This window comes from Homo sapiens, chromosome 6 (genome assembly GCF_000001405.40).
Source record: "Homo sapiens chromosome 6, GRCh38.p14 Primary Assembly".
In the NCBI taxonomy this organism is placed as follows: domain Eukaryota; kingdom Metazoa; phylum Chordata; class Mammalia; order Primates; family Hominidae; genus Homo; species Homo sapiens.
In genome coordinates, this window is record NC_000006.12 from 84,073,993 (window position 1) to 84,096,407 (window position 22,415).

General features: G+C 40.3%; 1 protein-coding gene across 9 annotated transcripts in view; it reads left to right on the forward strand.

Annotated features, from left to right (window-relative positions):
* Positions 1-22,415, forward strand: part of MRAP2 (melanocortin 2 receptor accessory protein 2) — a 113,105-nt gene that overhangs the window by 40,815 nt on the left and 49,875 nt on the right. For 6 of the 9 annotated variants that reach the window (XM_017010220.2, NM_001346542.2, NM_138409.4 and 3 more), the window contains one exon: positions 15,099-16,889. The exons of 1 other annotated variant lie outside the window; for it this stretch is intronic. In XM_017010220.2, the coding sequence (XP_016865709.1) occupies positions 15,099-15,489 (391 nt within the window). In that variant the 3' untranslated portion in view covers positions 15,490-16,889. Of the gene's footprint in view, positions 1-12,869; positions 12,950-13,195; positions 13,290-15,098; positions 16,890-22,415 lie in introns of those variants that run through there. 2 more of the 9 variants (XM_047418132.1, NM_001346543.2) reach the window with 2 other exon arrangements.

Here is a 22,415-nt window from a genome sequence, read left to right on the forward strand (position 1 = left end):
TGGACATCCCTGTTGTAAACACAGAAGTGAGCAGACTGTGGAGCTTCTTGCAAAAGCTGGGCTCAGAGCATCCCTCAGTAAAGATGAGTCACTGTGTGAGCTGAAGAGTCTAGGTAAAGAGTAGGAGGGAGAAGAAAAAGGAACCCATTCCCCATGGGATACCCAGACCCTAAGCGTTATATCTACACTTTCAAAATGTTGCCTTATTCTATCCCAGCTTCACCTTGGCTGTGTCTCAAAGTGAAACAGTAAGATGAATCTAGAATGGCAGCTAGGTAGAGAATCCTGGTGATGGGTCAGAAGGACCAACACCTTTGAATTCTGATTGCTTTACATATCTGGCTCTCTGGGTGGTTTGTCACTAAGACAGTTACTTCCTAAAGTAGAACATCAACAGCATCCTTTTGGAACATGATTCCAACAGCATGGTTAAGATACCTGAGTAAGTCTGCAAGCTCAGAATGGACTGGTGCTGGATCTACCACTGAATTTAATATTTTTCTCCCTGGAGACATCTCAGGCCAGGGCCAAATGGCTCCCTAGGATCTCATAATTGCTGACACATGGAAGTGTGTGAGCTTCCCTTTGATAGTAGTAATCACAGGATGACAGATAACACCACCTGTGCCCTGACTCCCTGTGCCCGTGCCCACAACAGACATCAGCAATGGACTGCATCATCTTCCCTGCATAGCCAAGATTTTGCCTGAGAATCATTTTCAAAACAGATCTCCAGGCAGCCACCAGGAACCAATCACAGTTTACCTGAGAGAGAATGTTTATCTGCCATCCCTGGCTGGACTTTCCTTTAATGTACTGGATGACAGGAGTTGAGATCCATTTAACTGCACAGGGCCAATCACACTGCAATAAAATGGGTATTTTTTTCCCCTGAATTTTTTGACCTGGGATCATGCTAGAATGAGAATTTCTGGAATCACTAACTACTTAGTGGCTTCTGTTAACGGGGGAAATATGTGCTAGGCTAGGCTGTCAGACAGTAAGAAGTTAATCCTCAAATCTTGGTATGACACAACAAAGGTTTATTTCTTGCTTAAACTCCATGTCTGCTAAGGTTGGCAAGGGGCAGACAGAAACATCTCCACTTGCAGCTGCCCTTTCCCCACCACGCGGCCTCCTAGGTTGCTATGACACGGTAAGAAAACACTTGGAGATCTCAAGGCTGCCCCTCCATTCTTCAGCCGGAAGCAGCACACATCCCTTCCTCCCACAGCTCATTAGTCAGAACTAGCCACACCCACCTGACTGCCCAGGGCTGGGAAGGGTAGTCTTCTGTGTATCCAGAAGGAAAGAGGCAGGTATTGGTGAGCACTGAGAAGGTAGACTGCAGAGGAAGAAAGACTGTTATAAAGCTGACATCACCCTTCTTAAAAGCTTTTAGGCCTAAGAGGCAGCTTTGATGGGGATTATTTTTTCCATGGAATATTTGCTTTTGTATGGTGGGGCAGGCAGGGGATCTCTTTTCTGGATTTTTTAAGGACAGTGAAGATAAAAGAAGCATTTCCTCCTGCTTTCTGAGCTAAGGAACCATTTACTCTGCATGCTGTCTTGTTAAAGCATTATGGCCCCATTATCATAAATCTGCCAGATAGAGAGTAATGGGAAAAGCTTGGGTCACATTTTTATGTAGAATACTTCGGACTTCTTGAAAAATTATCAAACCCCAGACATTACGTGCCTCACATACCCTCCTTTTGTAGCCTTTGTTAAGTACATCTCATCCAGGTGGGGCTGTTCTTCACTTAGGGGCCAGTGCAGGATTGCTCAGGACCTTGTAAAAATGGGAATTATATTCTATCTTGAATAGCAATTTACCTGAATATGGCACTCATTAAAGAATGGGTACATGGAAGTAAAGACTAACAACAGGGAAATGTCATTGTTCAAAAGTTTTGATATTGACCATGGCCACAGGAACTAGATGGCAAAATGCAGATGTAGTGAGTGATTCCTGAGGAAGCCCTGTCGTTCTGAGGTATCTACTGCTATGAAAGGGTAGAAAATCTATTTTATGTGTCTGGTTCAGTCTATAACTTTTGTTCAGGAGTTATTTTTTTTTTTCTTTTGAGATGGGGTCTCACTCTGTCACCCAGGTGGCAGTGCAGTGGTGCGATCTCGGCTCACTGCTAGCCTCAACTGCCCAAGCTCAGGTGATCCTCCCACTTCAGCCTCCTGAGTAACTGGGACTGGGTGTCCACTACACCCAGCTAATTTTTTTTTTTTTTTTTGAGACAGAGTCTCACTCTGTCACCCCGGCTGAAGTGCAGTGGCACGATCTTAGCTGACTGCAACCTCCACCACCTGGGTTCAAGTGATTCTCCTGCCTCAGCCTCCTGAGTAGCTAGGATTACAGGTGCCCACAACCATGCCCAGCTGAGTTTTGTATTTTTAGTAGAGATGGGGTTTCTCCATGTTGGCCAAGCTGGTCTGGAACTCCTACCCTCAGGTGATCCACCTACCTCTGCCTCCCAAAGTGCTGGGATTACAGGTGTGAGCCACTGCACCCAGCCTAATTTTTGTATTTTTAGTAGAGACAGGGTTTCACCACGTTGCCCAGGCTGGTCCCAAACTCCTGGCCTCAAGTGATCCACCTGCCTCGGCCTCCCAAAGTGCTGGGATTACAAACGTGAGCCACTGCGCCTGGCCAGGCATATGTATCTTTAAAAGCCCACTGGAAGTGACTGCTGGAAATATCAGGTGCCCACAGGCTGATCTGCCCACCACTTTTCATGAGTGGGGCAAACTGAAGACAGTTGTCAGCATGCTAAGACCATTGGCACAGCAGCAGGTATTTCATTTGTAAAATCTCATCAAAAATCTGGAAAATTGCTAGTGGAATAATCCAGAGCATTACTTGTGTTGTCCCTCTGCAAATGGAAGTGGAAGGAGTCTATCCTTCTGTCTTGATTTGTCTTCAGGGTCACAGAGGTAGGAGCACTTCACTAACACCAGAGAAGCTGTGCCTCTCATAGGAATCAGGGCTTTGGACAAGCCCACAGATATAGCTGTTCAGTACATGGTATTTCATAAAGTGCTCACTGAGGTCTAATTAGTGCAAAGCTCTTTTAGGGTTGCAAAGATGAATCCAATTACAGCACATCAGTATATAGAAGAGAAAGACCATACACAAAATAGCCCTGACACAAGGCAGAAAAGGATGCATCCTGTAAGAGCAGGTTAGTAAAATATGGCAAGAGCACAGAGGAGGGACAGATTTCTTCCCATTGGGAGATCAGAGTGTCTCCATGGCATCAGTGACATTGGAGTTGACAGTGAAGAAGGTATTTTATTTTGACAGACAGACTGGTGGAAGGGCCTATCAGGTAGAAAGAACAGCACAAGCGAAGGCACAGAGAGTGGCAGTCTTGAGTACATTGGGGGCTGTCACATCCTTCGTGGCTAGACTGTAGGATTAGCAAGGGGACTGAAACTGAAGGGCTTTTGGCCCTTGAAAGAAGGAAACTGCCTAGCTTATGTCTATGGTTATATGATTTTCTACCTGAAATCTTCCAATTCACAAGCATGATCTACATCTCCATATACTTAGGTCTTCTTCAATTTCCCTTTGTAATGTTTTGAAAATTTCAGAGTACAGGTCTGGAACATTCTTGGTTAAATGTATTGTTAACTATTCTATTTTTTTGATGTTATTGTGAATGGAGTTACCTTTTCATTAGTAGCATGTAGTAATATAGTGATTTTTGTATAAGGTCAATTGAAAGAAAAATCTTTTTAAATGGCAGTGGTGGTCTAACTGGATAAACATATGAAAAAAAAATGAATGAGATTACCTCATCTCAATATGGAGCGTGTCTTCAAAGTAAAAGCTCCTAGAACTGCACTGGCTGGTAGAACTTTCTGTGATGATGGAAATGTGTCTGTGCTGTCCAGTTAGATAGCCACTGGCCATGTGTGGTTACTGAGCATTTGCAATATGGGTAATATGACTAAGAAACCAAATTTTGAACGTTACTTAATTTAAATTTAAATAGCCACATATTGGTAATGTATCATATTGGCCAACATGGTTAGAAGAAAGCATAGGAGAATATCTTCATGATGTTAGGGTAGGCAATTGTGTCTTAGAGAAGATGTAAAAAGCACTAAACATAAAGGAAAAAAATTGATAAACAACTGATTAAAACCCCTGCTCATCAAAAGACACCTTTGAGAAAATGAAAATGCCAAGTCACAGATCAAGAGAAAATATATGCAATACACATAACTGACAAAGAACTCATATTCCGCATATATTATAAAACTTCCACAAGTCAAGAACAAAAACCAAATAACTCAGTTTTTAAATAGACTCCTACAGATGCTTCACAAAAGAAGATAAACCAATAGCCAATAAGCACAGTAAGAGATGCTTAGATGTTATTACACATCAGAGAAATGCACATTAAAGTCACAGTGAAATGTCATTTCACTCCCATTGGAATGTCTAACATTAACATGATTGACAACACCAAATGTTGGGAAGCAGGTTGCTATGGCTTGGATAGCTTGTTTGCCCCCACCAAAGCTCATGTTGAAATTTGATCCCGTGTGGCAGTTTTGGGAGGTGGGGCCTAATGGGAGGTGTTTGGGTTATAGGGGTGGATCCCTTGTGAATGGCTTGGTGCTATTCTCACAGTAGTGAGTTCTTGCTTTCTCAAGACTGGATTAGCTCTCTTGGGAATGGATTAGTTCCCTCAAGAGTAGGCTGCTATAATGCCAGGACACTCCTCAGATTTTCCTTCCTTTTTATGGGTCTGCTTCTCCTTTGACCTTCTTTGTAGTGTTGTGATGCAGCATGAAAGCCCTAACCAGAAGCCAGGGGCATACCCTTGAACTTCTCAGCTACATAAACTTCTTTTATTTGTAAACTACTCAGTCTCAGGTATGCTTTTATAGCAACATGAAACGGACTACAACAGAGGTGGAAAAACTAATTCTCACACATTGTGGTGGAGTGTAAAATGGTACAACTACTTTGGAAAACCCTTTGCAGTTTCTCATAAAGTTAAGCATAGATCCACTACATGACTCAATTCTATTCTTAGGTATTTATTCAAGAGCAGTAGAAACATATCCACAAAGAGACTTTTCAACAACGTTCAAAGTAGCTTTACTCACATAGTCCCAAGCTAGAAACAACCCAAATGTCCTTCAGCAGGAGAATGAATAAATAGATTGTAGTATGTTCATACAATGGGCATTAGTAAGAAAAAGGACAAACTATTGTCATATGCAACAATATAGCTAAATCTCAAAAACATTGAGCAAAAGAACCCAAGCACAAAAGGCCATATATCATATGATTCCATTTATATAAATTTCAAGAACAGGCTAACCTAGTCTGTGGAAATAGAAATCAGAGCAGTGTTACCTAAAGGGGGTAGAAATTGAATGGAATAAAACTTTCTGGAATGAAGGAAATAAATGTCCTTTATGTTGATTGGGGTGGTAGTTACATGGGTGTGTTCATTAATTAAAATTCATCATATTTTGTACTTAAGGTTTATGCATTTCACATTGACATATATGGTATGTAAACTTTACCCATTGATGATAAGAATGGTAACTGAATTGAAGCAAGTGGTGTCCACGATGAGTTTTTCACATTGTCAACCCAAATTAACAAACAGAGGCTCTCTGAAAGAAAATGATATTTATTTGGTAATAGGGCACTGCAGTGGGAATACTCATGTCATAGTAAACTATGTGTGTATTCTAGGAGGTAAAGGAAGATAAAGATATTGAAAGGAAAAGTGAGGAGGATTACACAATTATTTCAAGATAATTATCCTTGGCTACAAGGGTTAATAACAAAGGTGGCATCAGTCAAGATTGGACAGATAGTTGCTGGGTAGATGTCCTTGTAGAAGTATTTTTTTGTTGTAAGACTGAGATGGCCTTTGTGCAAGATTATGGCTTTTGCAGAGTCTTTTGTGATGATTCTTATTAACAGGCACTCATGCATGAGGACCCTCGTTTCATAACCTTCCCCAGCTCTATTGCCAGGGTTTTTTTTTTGTTTGTTTGATTTTTCTTTTGAGATGGAATCTTGCTTGGTCACCCAGGCTGGAGTGCAGTGGCATGGTCTTTGCTCACCACAAGCTCCGCCTCCCGGGTTCACGCCATTCTTCTGCCTCAGCCTCCCAAGTAGCTGGGATTACAGGTGCCTGCCACCACACCCGGCTAATTATTTTTTGTATTTTTAATAGAGACGGGGTTTCACCATTTTAGCCAGGATGGTCTGGATCTCCTGACTTCGTGATCCGCCCGCCTCAGCCTCCCAAAGTGCTGGGATTACAGGTGTGAGCCACCACGCCCTATTGCCAGGGTTTTTAACATAAGTGACTTCATTTTGATTCTGACAACTTTCACATTTCCCTCTTTTGCTGAAGCTCTTTCTCAAAAGTCATCACTGATGAATCATCCCGTAGTTAAATTTTGATTGTCCCTTGGTTCTGGGATTTACCTGTACTGGTTTGGTTTAATCTAGTCCTACATTAGAGGGAAGTTATTGGTGACTAGGAATCAGTGTCAAAAGCCTTTTAGCCACATTTGAGCAACAAAGGTAGTTTGGAGGGAGTGGCTCTCAGGCTAAGTCTACCTGAAGTCCATATTTAAGTTCAATTTTGTCTGTTTTGTAGGTGTTGGCTATCACTTCAAAGTGCTGGTCCAGCATTATTCTGTTAGGAGTTGTACTTCTGAAGAATTTTAACAAGTAACAGGTACAAAGTTTACAAACAAAAGTAGAAAGTAAAATTAATAGTAATATGATAATCTCAGTTTGCCTAACAGTTTTGAGGCATGAACCTGGGCTTAAAGGCAACCAATTAATAAATCAAATGAACACAGGGGATTAGGTGAGACTTGTTGTAACTATGTGACCTGTTTTCTTATTTTGTATATATGGGTCTTAATTTTCCCAGAGGAATATATCTAGGTACAGTATGTAGTATTAGCAATAGCACATATATTTATTTACTTAAACAATAGATAATATAGAGCAATTTTATTACATGGCATCCCATGGGTGGGTTGAATTAAAGTAGAGCAGACAGAGAACAACAGTTGTATTAGGGATGTTGACAAAGTCACCCATTGGGTGCACTAAAGGATCTCTTAGGTCAGGTTTTTTAAAGTTACCAGCAAAACGTATTGATTGTGAAATTTCAAGTGCACCATTATCCTGTCAAATGAAAAAGGTAGGCATTAAGAGGGGTCAAAGTCTCATTATGATATGGAGTCTTTTTCTGATGTCTTGGGAAAAACTGTCTACTGCATGAAGCTGTCAACTTCTCATCCTGGTTTGCAGTTTGAATGTGACTGTTTATGGCATAAGGTGTCGGTATGTTTTGATTCTGTGTCCCTACCCATATCTCATCTCAAGTTGTAATCCCCATGTGTCATTGTCATGGGAGGAACCTGGTAGGAGGTGATTGGATCATGGGGGCAGTTTCCCCTGTGCTATTCTTGTGATAGTGAGTTCTCACAAGATGTGATGGCCTAAAAGTCTGTGGTGATTCCTTGGCTGGGCACAGTGGCTCATGCCTATAATCCCAGCAGTTTGGGAGGCCGAAGCAGATGGATAATTTGAGGTCAGGAGTTCAAGGCCAGCATGGCCAACATGGTGAAATCCTGTCTCTACTAAAAATACAAAAATTAGCCGAGGGTGGTGACACATGCTTGTAATCCTAGTTACTTGGGAGGCTGCGGCAGGAGGATCACTTAAACTGGGAGGCAGAGGTTGCAGTGAGCCAAGATCAAGCCACTGCACTCCAGCTTGGGTGACATAACAAGACTCCATCTTAAAAATGAATGAATGAATGAATGAATAAATAAATAAAAGTATGTGGTGGGTTCCCCCTGTCTTGCTGCCATGTAAGATGTGCCTTGCTTTCCCTCTGCCTTCCACTAAAATTGTAAGTTTCCTGAGACCTCCCTAGCCATGCAGAACTATGTGTCAATTAAACCTCTTTTCTTTATAAATTACCCAGACTCAGGTAGTTCTTTATAGCAGTGTGAAAACAGATTAATACAGGTGCTTTGGTGAACTCTCTGTGTGACCCATACATTAGACATTAGACTTGTCCCTTAAAATTCACCAAGTTTAAGGTTATAGGGCTTCAGAAATAGAACAGTTTGCATTTTTAGTAATTCTATGGTAGAGAGTTGGATTGAAAGAATCTAGAATAATTCAGGATCCAGTCTATTCTATAGGCAGATAACAAGAACTTGAAAATAATGCACAGGGCTAAAAACCTAATAACAAGAGTGTTGTAGTTTTTCTTTAGAAATATAACTTTTTCTCTCTCGTATTAGTATACTTTTAATATTAAAGCTCAATCTTTAGCAAAGGCTTATAGATAATTCCCATCTAATTATAGCCTTCATGAACCTTTCATGACCTGCTCAAATCTTCAGTAACATGCTTAAGCCTTTAGTTTTGTCCCATTCTTCCTCTTTCTTAAATGACCAGTCATTTTACTTTAGAACAAAAATTTACTACACAGATTCTTTCTTATACGAAATTATTCTCTTTTCTTTTTAACCTTCCTTACCGAAAGTGCATCTTCTTACTTATAACTTCCTCCATGTCTCTCTCTCCTGCTTACCAGTAGAGAAGGGCTTTTGCCATGTTGCCCAGGCTGATCTCGAACTTCAGAGCTCAAATAATCCTCCTGCCTCGGCCTTCCACAGTGCTGAGATCACAGACGTGAGCCACTGTGAGATATGATGAGGTTTCTCTTCAAATAGCTTGATCAATCCTTTATTCTTTAATTCATAGTACCCACTCCCCCACCCCTTTCTCCTTTTTGTCTTTTTTTCCTTTCTGCCTTTGTTACATGCTAGGACATGCCACAGTACCAGGCTTATCAGTACGAGCTCACATTCCTTTCCTTATTTAAAAAAAAGACTAGCCCTCTAGCTCATCACAGACACCCCTTCCCCTTTTCCCCTCTCTCCCTTACGTGCCCACCTTATCTAAAAAAAGTTCAAATGTCTAACCAACCGAGATTAATTCAGATTGTGCGACCCGACCCCGGCCAATAGAAAAAGAGTACAGAGACAGGACTTGCGTCAGAAATAAAGGCTTTCATGCCCCTTTGTTCAAGTGTGCTCTCATGGCGACTGGCAAAAAAACAAACAAACAAAAATCCCTCTACACAAAAGTAAAATTGCTTTTGCTAAAAATCCCTTGTTTGAGTGTTCAATCTCCTTAGGATTTTGAGCGTTATTCCCAACAGCCACCATGCCTGGCCTGTTTACTTTTAACAATTATACCTGGATTACTCATAGAAACTGAGATATTAGACAAAGCTAGTCATCATTTTAAGTTATTTCCCTTTTGATCATTTTTATAGCCTGTGAATATCAGGTGTTCACCTAAGTAAGAATCTTAAAGTTAAATATATGGGTATTTTGCCAATAACTCAGAAGATACAGCTGCTTTTATTAAGCCAACAATATGAAATTAGTCTTACATATCAAAGAATTACAGAAACAAATTTATTCTGTTTTTAGGGTGAGTTTATAATTTTATCACCTTAAAACATCTAGTACAATCTTGATGAACAGTAAACCCGGGCAAAATTGTATGCTGACAATTTTGAAGACCTCTCTATTTTTATTTTGTCAACAAACTTAAAACCAGCTTATTTATCAAAAAATTATTTAAGTAATGTGAACTAAAAACACGTGGGTTAGTTACTATATTTTTGTTACAGTACTCAATTTAAGTGCTTTTCTTCCCTTTTAAATTTATTAATCAGATCTCTTTAATATATTTTAGTAGAAAAATATTATACACACACAACATTAAAACATACAGACAACACAAATACATAGAAGCAGATTCTCTCGCTTTCGTCTGGATATTTTAGTCATGAGACAGTGTAACATAGTAATACAAACTCAGTTTGTAAAAGGACAGTTGAACTCAAATTATATTTCTGACAAATGGGACCTGTTCACATGGCTAATGTTTATTTGCCCCAATAGATAATCTTATTAAGGCTGTGAACTAAAATTTTGGATAAGGAAATTTTCATAGCAGTTTGATAATAATAATAATAAACCTCTCATCCTTTATTTCAGTTTCAAATGAGTTTAGGGTATATTTTTAATATTTATATTTTAGCCAGGACTGGCTAAATTGTATAAGAAAAATAAAATCTTCAAATGGCCTTGAATTTTTAGTAACAAATCTATCTTTTGTTTGCTGGTCTGGTTTGCTTGACTAGTCAATGTGGGTGAGGAAGCATTTTAACAGGTTTTTTTTCCAGCTTTTTCTAGTCCCTCCGTAGTAGATAAAGCAATTTTTATGTCAGACAAAGATATAGTATTCCTCTGAGCTCAAGATTTTGACTTGTTTGATCTGAGAGGCTAACTTTTATGAACATTTATGTAGTTATTTGCTTTTAAAATACCAATCCTTTAATTAAGTGTTCCATTACCCAAAGCACTTTTTAGTCAGACAAACCTAGATTTACATTTCCAAAGGTGTCTAAATTGTTGGTTTTCATGAACCTGTTGTAATCTGTAAAGCTGTTAAGTTTTTTGCATTTTGACTGGAATGCCATAAGCAGTGAGTTTGTCTTAACACCAGCAGAAAAGTCTGCAGATTCAAAATAGGCAGAAAAATAAAATAGAGGAGAGAGAGCCTAGAAGGCTCTATGTATTAACTCTATATTTGCAGTTTCTATTTCATCTCTAAGATAAACAGGCTTGGGGAGTTTGAATGATCTCCATGATGCCCATTGAGTTTGTGTGCACCAGGAAAAGCCATGTGGCCAGCTGGAGTCCCAGAAGACCAGGCATGCCTTGGTATTTGAGAATCTCATTTCATTTCTTTATTTTATTTTATTTTATTTTATTTTATTTTATTTTATTTTATTTTATTTTATTTATTTATTTTATTTTACTTTATTTTATTTTATTTTATTTTATTTTATTATACTTTAAGTTTTAGGGTACATGTGCACAACCTGCAGGTTTGTTATATATGTATACATGTGCCATGTTGGTGTGTTGCACCCATTAACTCATCATTTTTTTATTTTTTTGAGACAGAGTCTCACTCTGTCCCCAGGCTGGAGTGCAGTGGCGCGATCTCGGCTCACTGCAAGCTCCACCTCCCAGGTTCACGCCATTCTCCTGCCTCAGCCTCCCAAGTAGCTGGGACTACAGGCACCCGCCACTGTGCCTGGCTAAGTTTTTGTATTTTTAGTAGAGAAGGGGTTTCACCGTGTTGGCCAGGATGGTCTCGATCTCCTGACCTCGTGATCCGCCCTTCTCGGCCTCCCAAAGTGCTGGGATTACAGGCGTGAGACACCGCGCCCGGCCCCTTCATTTCTTATTAATTTCTTAAAAGCAAAGAAAATCCCATAAATCATGTCATGGGACCGTCAGGAGTTTGTACTGGTGTGTAAAGAAAATTCTTTAAATCTTGTCAGGAAAATGTCAGGAGTTTAGACTGGTGTCTTACACAGTGGCAACCAACATAGTGGCTTTTAATTAGCCATCCTGCATCCACCACTTAGGATGTTTATTTTTGCTCTTGAAAGATTTTCAGAAACAAGCAAAGGGGAAGAGCCAAATCATTTACACACATGCATAACCAAACCCAAATCGGATTGTTCACAGAAATTTTAACCCAGGCATGCAGATCAAACAAAATATTAAACTAGGCATGCAGAAAGAACCAAAAATGAACTCACCAGAAAAGACATGTCTCCAAGACAGATTGTAAATGTTGTAGAAACCGGAGTACTCTCCACAAGGACACTTCTCAGGAAGAGCTTGCCAAAAACAGAATTTTATAGTTCCAAGAGAGATGCAGCATTCTTCATTTAAGGTAGGCTGATAACCAAACCAAATCTCAGATAAAGTCAAAAAGCCTCTATCAGGAAGAAGGGGCTTAGCCTGAGTGAAGACTCACCAGGGAAGAACAGGTGAGCCATGGAGGCAGAGAGCTCAAAGGGCTCAAGGTGAGCACAGCCTGCAGGTTCCAAGAATCACTGATTCCTTCCAAAAGTGATCTTGCTTCAGGTTCCGCTTCTGGAGACCATTTATGTCAACCTAAATAACAAATACTGAGAGGTTCTCTAAAAGAAAATGATGTTTACATGGTAATGGGTCATTGCAATGAAAATACTCATGCCATATAACTTATGTGCATATTCTGGGAAGTAAAAGAAGACAAAGTTTTTTAAAGGAAAAGTAAGGAGGATTACATGATTGTTTGGAGAGAGTTATCCTTAGCTACAAGGAACAATATGGGTGGTGCCAGTTCCAGGTTGGACAGGCAGTTGCTGGGCAGATGTCCTTATAGAAGTATTTTTTTGTGCAAGGTTATGGTTTTTGCCATCTTTCATGATTGTTCTTGTTATCAGACATTTGTGAGTGAGAATTCCCACTTCATGGCCTTCCCCAGCTCTATTCATCAGGATATTTTTTAATAACATTAAGTGACTCCATATTTATTCTGACAACTTTCACAACATACAGGTCCTTTTGTTTATCAGTCAAGGAAAGAAGAAACAAATAAAAGTCAAGTATATTGAGTGTTTAATATTTACTGGACTCTAAGAGTACAAAGATGAACTTTTTGCTCTTCTCAGGAAGGGAGAATCAGACACATCATACTGTTGCCATACCAAGGGATCATCGGGAGGAAGCCAGAAGGGAGGGGGTGGCCATGGGAGCACAGGGTAGCCTCAGGGGGCAGGAAAGGCACCTCAGAGGGGCTTTAATGTCCACTGCCTTGGCACTGTCCTGGGGAGGGACAAAATTCTCTTGGTCTCTTGTGCCTTAGTTCTCCAGCAAGGGTGACTAATGGACTTTAATTCCAGGAAACATAGCTGTGTTATGGAAGAGCAGCCACACACAGCTGGGCTTCTGGGTCTGCTGTCACACTCAGCTGGTGCCACAGGTAGGCAGAAAAGCTATTTCTCAGAGCTTCTTAGCCTTGGAATTGAGGAATGGTGTGGACCCCAGCAATCTTAATTATGCTTTCTCCAAATGCTTTGTGAACCCCCAAAATCCGAGAGAGGTCTCAGTTAATTTAGAAAGTTTATTTTGCCAGGGTTGAGGACACACACCCATGACTCAGCCTCAGGAGGTCCTGAAGACATGTGCCCAAGGTGGTTACAGCACAGTTTGGTTTTATCCATTTTAGGGAGACATGAGACATCGATCAACATATGTAAGATGAACATTGGTTCAGTCTGGAAAGGCGGGACTACTCGAAGCAGGGAGGGGACTTCCAGGTCGTAAGTAGATAAGAGACAATGGTTGCATTCTTTTGAGTTTCTGATTGACCTCTCCAAAGGAGGCAATCAGATATGCATTTATCTCAGTGAGCAGAGGGGTGACTTTGAATAGAATAGGAGGCAGGTTTGCCCTAAGCAGCTCCCAGCTTGACTTTTCCCTTTAGCTTAGTGATTTGGGGGTTCAAGATATTTTCCTTTCACAGCTTTAAGCCACTCTTTTTCCTAGGTGACATTTTAGTTTATCAGGTCACAGGTTGCTGGCACACTCATCCCTGTTCTCAAATATCTTTTAAACCTGAGAGAAATGACAGTTGAGGGAAACTCATTTACAGAAAGACAAAGAAGACCATGTAAATTTGCACTAAAGCATAAATCTTCAGTCTCTCTAAAATGATTTTCTCTGAATTCTGAATACCTGACATAGTAGAATATTGGATTCTTGCATAAACCCTTGACGTTCACAACATGTTTGTTTAGTGGGCAGTGAAAATTGTTAACCTGGCTTATTATTAAAAGGAAAAATACAGGTTTCTGAAAGGATTTCTTGCTTGATGTCACCCAGGTAACCATGCTAGGAGACAGATCTGATATTAAAATTCCTTCAGCTAGCTGGATTACAAACCTTCTAGGGTTGCTGACCTCTGAAATCCAGGTGATTTTGATAATTTGGAGTTTAGTGATATACAATCAGGTTTTCCAGACCTGTGTTTTTTTTGTTTTTGTTTTTTTGTTTTTCACCTCTGCCCAAATTCTTACAGAATTTGGTCATAAGTGCTTTCTCCTGAGTGATAGGATGGGAAGGAAGAGATTTAAGAACTGGAAACACTGAGAGGATTACACATCTGTTGAGCACAAACTCCAGGGCTTGATTTTTGTCAGGTTCTGTTCTGGACTTGAAAACACATTCAGTCATGATTTGTGCCTTTAAGGAGTCACTACCTGTGCATGGGCAATCCTTCTTTAAGTCTGGAAAGGATGGTGATTAAAGTAGATGGAGTATCAGGTTCTCAGCTTACCTGGGCTCTTTCTTTCACGCACTTGTGGGACTCATTGAGAGTTATTTTATTCACTCATTGACTCATTTATTACCCTTGAACTGCTTATTTGTTCCACGTTAAAGGAAACAAGGAATTAGGAATCTGGGTTTTATTCCCACTCATACCACAAACTGATTGTGTGACTAAGTGGGCAATTTGACTGCTCCTTACCTGAGTTCATACGTTTGTAAAATGCACATCATAATTCTTGCCCTAACTGACTGTATTGGTTACTTTTGAGAATCAAGTGAGAAAAATGGATATTATAGCATTTTGGCAAATATTTAATGTACCCCTATGAGACAGTATTATTGTTTTTAGGCCGGTGGTTCTAAACTTCAGTATGAGTAATGATCCTTAGAGAATATATGAAAATGCTTATTACTGAGCCTACATTCACAGATTCTGAGGGTCTGTGACCCAGGAATCTGCATTTTAAGAGGCACTTCAAGTAATTATGATGCAAATGGTCCAAGAATTCCACTGAAAAATACTGGTGTGTCTGCAGAATATTGGGGAATTCCTCAGCAAGGTGTCTGTTTTCGGGATGATCTGGGGGCCCTCATCTTGAAGCCTTTGCCTTGGGTTTATCTGTACATACTCAGAAGGGATTTCTCTTATTTCTCATGTTTGTCTGCATGCCATGCAAGGGGCTTACACTCAATAGGTGCTTAGTGGAAATGTGCTGGCCTGCCCTACGTGCAGAAAACCATGATTCTGCAGGTGAATGGGCTGGAGTGTAAGCAGTCTTTTATTTTCTTTTTTTAAATAGCAATGCAGAGTCCTCAGAGAAGAGATTCAGAATGAACAGCTTTGTGTCAGACTTTGGAAGACCTCTGGAGCCAGATAAAGTATTTTCTCGCCAAGGCAACGAGGAGTCCAGGTCTCTCTTTCACTGCTACATCAATGAGGTGGAACGCTTGGACAGAGCCAAAGCTTGTCACCAGACCACAGCCCTTGACAGTGACGTCCAACTCCAGGAAGCCATCAGAAGCAGTGGGCAGCCAGAGGAGGAGCTGAACAGGCTCATGAAGTTTGACATCCCCAACTTTGTGAACACAGACCAGAACTACTTTGGGGAGGATGATCTTCTGATTTCTGAACCACCTATTGTTCTGGAAACTAAGCCACTTTCCCAGACCTCACACAAAGACCTGGATTGAGAAACATGCTCTGTAAAGGGTCTTCCTGAAGATGTGGATTCTATCTTTATGTAGCAAGAAATCTACATCCACCAAAATTGTGTGTGTTTGGGGGAGAGAGAGACATAGAGATAGAGACAGAGAGGCAGAGAAGAGACCCCTTTAGAAGAGAGCTGAGCTGATTAAGCTGAGTGGTTTTTTGTTTTGTTTTGTTTTTGCTTTTTAATACATTTGGAGCTTTGGGAGTATTAAAGTATTTACACCAAGCTTGTCCAACCCGTGGCATGTGTCCCAGGACAGCTTTGAATGTGGCCCAATACAAATTTTAAACTTTATTAAAACATGAGTTTTGTTTTTTTTTTTGCTATTTTTTTTAAAGCTCGTCAGCTATCGTTAGTGTTAGTGTACTTTATGTGTGGCCCAAGACAACTCTTCTTCCAGTGTGGCACAGGGAAGCTAAAAGATTGGACACCTCTGATTTATACTAGCTCGTTTTGCTTGTTGAAAAATTTGGCCAAATACCTATTGTCAGCATTCTTGGGTGAGGATTAGCCTACCATGTTCTAATCTGGCCCTGCCACTACTATGCTCTACCTTTGGTGAGTTGCTTTACCTCTCTGGGCTGCCCCATTTTTAACTGTAGGTTGACAGGTCTAGAGTGATCCATCCCACCTCTAATATTTTGTGAATTTATGACTTTGCCTTCAGATGAGGCTGAGCTATACATAAAACAGTATAAACTAGGGTACTGCCTCGTATCTCTTGTAGGCTCTCTCAAATCTCTGTACCTTCCACTTAACCCTAATTGAGCCAAGCTTTAGTCAGGGGATCTGGTTGTCTACCAGAATGTCAGGAGACTCATCTTACACAGTCATGGTGGCCAATGTTTCTGGTGGGTTGTGCTGAAACAGCTCTTCTGAGAACTTCCAACCACCCATGCTCTAACCTGGAGACAGCCATCCCCTGCCTCAGAATAAGTACCAATTCGTAGTACATGTATGGTACTCTTGTCCCCAAGAAATGTTAGGAAGCTTGTCAGCTGAATGAGAGGAGGTGCCTTCTGGGTATCTCTGTGTTGGTGTATCTGTGCCATTGGCTACAGAACAAGAAAAATACTATTTGCCATGCTATTACCTTGGCAGATGTGTAGGTGATAGTCATCTGGCTTTGAGCTGAGATGGTCAGTGGGTTGTAAATTCCCCACTAGCAGATATTCAGGGTGGCCTGAGTTATGTAAACAAGTGAGCAACACAGCTTTAATTTCATGGAGGAATCAAAGCTGCACACTGGTATTAAAACAACTTGATTTTGCGCACACAGTTGCATGCATGGCAAGCTGTTAACCTCTGGGTGGCATTTTCATTATGAATTTGTTCACCACCTGTCTTGCTTAAGCTACAAAATAAATGCATTTGACTGCACAGAAATTTCCTCTGGTTCTTTATTTTCACACATCCAATTTTTTGTTTCCCAAAAAGTTGTACCATGTTTATAATGTCTCCTAACTTCTTGGAGTAGGCAGTGCTGACTGTACCATCTCTGGGATTCTGGTGATCTGAGCCATGCATGAGATTTAGGGATTATTTCGCTAAAAGAAATCCCTTTTCTATTGTGTATTTTAAAGAAAATATCATTCTTTAAGACTCTAAATAGTAAAACAAAGCATGGAATTTTTTTGTAATTAAAGCTACTTTAACATATTTTTTATAAATAGATGCTATTTTCATGAATTTTTTATGCAAGAGAGCAAGAGTATTAAAGAATGCTGAGTTTGTTAACTTTTTTTTTTTTTTTTTTTTTTTGAGAGACGGAGTCTTGCTCTGTCGCCCAGGCTGGATGGCTCACTGCAGCCTCCCCTCCTGGGTTCAAGTGATTCTCCTGCCTCAGCTTCCCAAGTTGCTGGGACTACAGGCACGTGCCACCACGCCTAGCTAATTTTTGTATTTTTTAGTAGAGACGAGATTTCACTATATGTTGGCCAGGCTGGTCTCGAACTCCTGACCTCAAGTTATCTGCCTGCCTTGGCCTCCCAAAGTGCTGGGATTGCAGGTATGAGCCACCATGCCTGGCCAGAGTTTAACTTCTAATATGAGTATGATTATTCATAATTTATTTAATGAAATATAAATCATGGGCTATTATTAAAGTTCACAGCTACTTAAGTGGTATCTTATTTAGAAGTAGATTTATTGATCAGAAGATTGAAAGATACTTAAACGTCAGACAAATACCCATGACTATATCATCATTTTTATGAACTAAATGTTAAGAACTGTGAATGGTCCAAGATTTTGCCCCTTCTGCAAATCAGCTTGCCATAGTCTCATGGATGCTGCCAGAAGACACAAGAGTCTTGGGTCAGAGACAAAAATCTTCATTACAGCACAGCAGGCCACATATGCTTCATGCTCATGTTGGTTCCTGAGTTTGTTTCCTACTGCTGTTGTAACGAATTACCACAAATTTAGTGACTTAGAGCAACACAAATTTATTCTCTTCCAGTTCTAGAGTAGACAAGTCTAAAATCAGTTTCAGTGGGCTAAAATCAAGGTGTTAGCACAGCAGCATTCCATCTGGAGGCTCTCAGGATTAATCAGTTTTCTTGCCTTTTCTATCTTCCAGGGGTTGCTCCCACTCTGTGGCTCCTCTTCTTCCACTTTACATCTCTGTCTTTAACCATCCTGCTTCTCTCTTATAAGGACCTTTGTGATTACATTGGGTTACCTAAGATGATCTCCCCATCTTGAGATCCTTCATTTAATCACATCTGTAAAGTGTGTGCCTTTTGCCACATAAGGCTACATATTGACAGGTTTCAGGGATTAGGATGTGGACATGCTTGGGGAACCATTAGCCTGCTAGTCTTCCCTTTGGCCCCAAAGGTTTATATCCATTCTATATGCACAATACATACACCCCATCCCAATATACTCCACAGTCTCAATTCATTATAGAATCAATTCAAAGTCACATGTATTACCTAAATCTTATCAGCTTAAAAGTCCCAAATCTTATTATCTTAACCATCTAATTTCAGTATTAGTGAGATCCTGGGTATGATTCATCCTGGGGAAAAACTCTCCATCTGTGGACCTGTAAAACTAGAAAATAAGTTATTTTCTCCCAAAATACAATGATGTGACCGACATAAGATACTAGTTACTAATAGTTGTCTTTCAGTATATGCAGGGGATTGGTTCCAGGCCCCCTGTATACACCAAAATCCTAGCATACTTAAGTTCCACAGTAGGTCCTGCAGAACCCGTGTATATGAAAATTAGCTCTCCGTATAGGTGGGTTTCGCATCCCAAGAATACTGTATTTTCAATCCCCATTTGGTTGAAAAAAAATCTGCATACAAGTGGACACGTGCAGTTCAACCCTATGTTGTTCAAGGATCAACCGTATTCCCATTCCAAAAAGGAGAAAATGGAAGGAAAAAATGAATCATCAGTCCCCAAAATAACAAATCCTTCAAACTGGGAAAACTGTTAAGCTGCAAGGCCTGGAAATAGTCTTTTGTGACTTCTGGCTACATTCTCTGGGCCTGAAGCTCCACTCTTGGAATCATCTTTTCTTTTTCTTGAAAGGTACAATGTGTTTTTAGCTGAGTAGTTTTATCAGCCTTTTTTTCTGCATGTAGAATTTTGGGAGTCTGATAGCCTTCATTTATCTTGCCCTCACTCTGTCCATTTCAGTTGAAGTTGTTATCAGTGCCCTGGGTTCTTGTAATCTTCCAGTATAGACATCAAGAGAGATCACCAAACATAGGAGCAAAGAGAAAGAGAGAGAATAGGGCAAGAAAAATAGAGAGAGAGAAAGAAAAAGGGAATGGGGACTTATCCTATGTAGGAACTTGACTCACCGAGGCACCAGGGTGAAACAATGGTGCAGCTGCCTTGGTTTGTGCCTGGTCAGCCATCTCTGTCGTCTGGGCTGTGCCATTTGCTCCCACAGGACCCTAAAATGAGGGTTCTATCTGGAGTGCCATGAGATGTAATCAGCACCCTGGGTTCTTGTAATCTTCCAGGATGGAAATACAGATCACCAGACATAACAGCAAAGAGAAAGAGAAAGCTTTATTTTAGCTTGTACACAAGGAAGTCAGCACTGCACAAGGAAAAGGGCAGGCTGCTCCCTGAGGGTAGTATGTGAGTCAGTTTTACAGGGCCTTTCCATAGATAAGTGTTTTATCAGGGCATGTATAGGAGGAGTTTCTCTAGCGCTTGGGCAGTGGCTTCACATGCTTCTTTGTACATCACATGTCACAATACATTTTAAATCTCCACCCCTGGTAGTGACTTAGTGACTTTTAGCATTAAAATGAGGAAGGGGTAGCTATGAGTTGAAGTTTAAGTCTAAGTATGCATATGGGGCCTCAGGGAAGTCCCTAATCCCTTAAAGCAGGAACTTGCGGTTAACAGCTTCTTGGATCTTCTTTTGCTGATTGGCTGGAAGTTAGGTAAGCTACAACTTGAGTAAGGAGCTTTTGTTCTTTTTCTCTAAACCACTCCAAAACAGAAAACGAACCAGCCTGGCTGTCTCAAAGTTGGCAGTGTTTCTGCTGGTATAACATTTTCAAGAACTAGGGTGTCTCCTGGATATATCACAGAAACTTACTACATTAGGCAAGAGGCTCTTCTGTGGATCACTCCTGAATAACCCTATCTCTATTCCTAGTTAGTACTTAAATGGATAAAATGATCCATGAGTCACACTCCTAATTTTTTCAGAGAGCCCCCCGTGTGATTTAATACTCTTTTTGTTTCTTTTGAGACAATAGCAAAGGTTGCCTAGTCACAGTCCTTGGCTTTCTCTCCAGAGCATGCTTTCCTGATGATGAATCTCCTAATTTTAGTGTTTTTGCAATATAATTGGCTGAGAATTTCCCAAATCATCAATCCTGATTCCTCTTCACTTAAAGTTCTTCCCTCCATTTTTCTTTCCTCTTGCATTTTACTATCAGTAGCAAGAAGAAACCAGGCCTCATCTTTAACATTTTGCTTGGAAATCCTCTCAGCTAAATATTCAACTTTATTATTTACAGATTTTGCTTTCTACATAATTGCAGGGCACAATTCACCTAAGCTTTCTGCTGCTATGTAACAAGGATCTCCTTTTCTCCAGTTTCCAATAACATGTTCCTCATTTCCATTTTAATTTTCATCTGCAGTACCTTTAGTATCCATATTTCTACCAATAGTCTGTTCATGATGATTTAGATAGTTCATAAGATAATTTTTTTTTTTTGACATGGAGTCTCACTCTGTTGCCAGGCTGGAGTGCAGTGGCGTGATCTCGGCTCACTGCAACCCCCGCCTCCTGGGTTCAAACGATTCTCCTGCCTCAGCCTCCCAAGTAGCTGGGACTACAGGTGCGCACCACCGCACCTGGCCAGATAATTTTTTTTCTATCATGCTCAGCACTTCCCTCTGAGTCCTCACTTAGAGTTGTTCACATCCATATTCCTACTAACAGGCTACTCAAGGCAATCTAGTCAGTTTATATCATGTTCTTCAATATTCTACCAGCCACTGCCCATTGCCAACTCCACATTTTTAGTTGTGTTTTGTTTTTTTACAACAGCAATAGAAATTAATATAGTTCCTCTTGCCTCCAGGTCTCACAGTGTGGAGAAGCAAGGGCTCAAGGAGATGCTGTGCACACAGTGGGTTGGCATCATGGCTGAGGAACCCTGAGCTTAGGGGAACCCTGTGTTTTGACAATGGGTTGCAAGCAAACCTCCCTGGCCTTTACCTCAGAAGGAGATATTATCTTTGTTATGCTGGATAGTAAATAAACCTGCTCTATGCTCCAGAGGGAGACACTATCTCCATCTTCCAAGGCTGTTCACTTTGCAAACATTGTTGAATAGACAGCTGAGACAAAGGCTGTCAGTTTTCCCCTGCTCACTTTACATGCAGAAACCTGAGAGGCCTTTGGAAACTGCCTCCCAAACCTAAAATGATCAAAGAGTATATTGCATAAGTCACTGGGGATTTTTGAAAAAGAGGCAACTTTGAAGAAGTTGTGAAAAGAATGCAGGTGACTTTTTAAATGCCTGAATTTCTCTTTTAGAGATATACAACCACCTCAGGTTAAATTCAATGGATTTTTTCCCTTCTGAAAGCTGCCAAGACTTTGCCAAAATATATACTGTGTATGTGAGCTATTTTATTACCTACTGAAAAATTGTCTATTATTGGTAGAACAATAATCCATCCTGTCACCCAGAAAAGATGTGTAGTAGAAATAGAAAGTCTTTATGTCTAGGCCAGGCTTTTAGATATATTGAGAGAGGCGACTTCAGGCAGCCTGTGATCAGAGGTGTTGAGTTGGCAGCTTGTGCTGATTCTCGAGGCAGATGTGTGTGAGTGGCACAGAGAAAATATTCTTGTCTTTCTATGGAGTTGGAGCTTTTGAATAAATTTTGCAGAAAACTTGGGATCCTCAGCTAAGAACAATCCTTGGGAAGTTCATCTGCAACTGTATACCTAGTGAGAGGTCTCCAGAGAAATACGCCTGCCTTGGGAAGAATGTGTGTACATTTTAAGGAAACATAGTTCATAAAATCCATACTGGAGAGAGAGGTATTTACATTTCTAGGATCTTTTCCACCTGTTCTCTATGGAGTAAAGTTTTTTCTTCCTCATGTTTTGCCTCTTTATCCTGTATATAAACAGAGAAACTCTGTTTTTCTCCATCCCTCGTCTAGGATACAGATGTTGTATGTATAGGAGATTTTAACCTAGTTTGCAATGTTACTTCAGGGGTAGAATTGGGACGTGAGGGACCATGTGGTTATGGATGGCTTTTAAAATGAATAATGAGAATCTGAACCTACCCAGATAACCTTGGGTATACATTTATGATAAAATTAATAAAGACAAATGTTAAAAATTTAACACAAATGTTGTTCGACTTCATTCCAAAAACACCTCATTAGA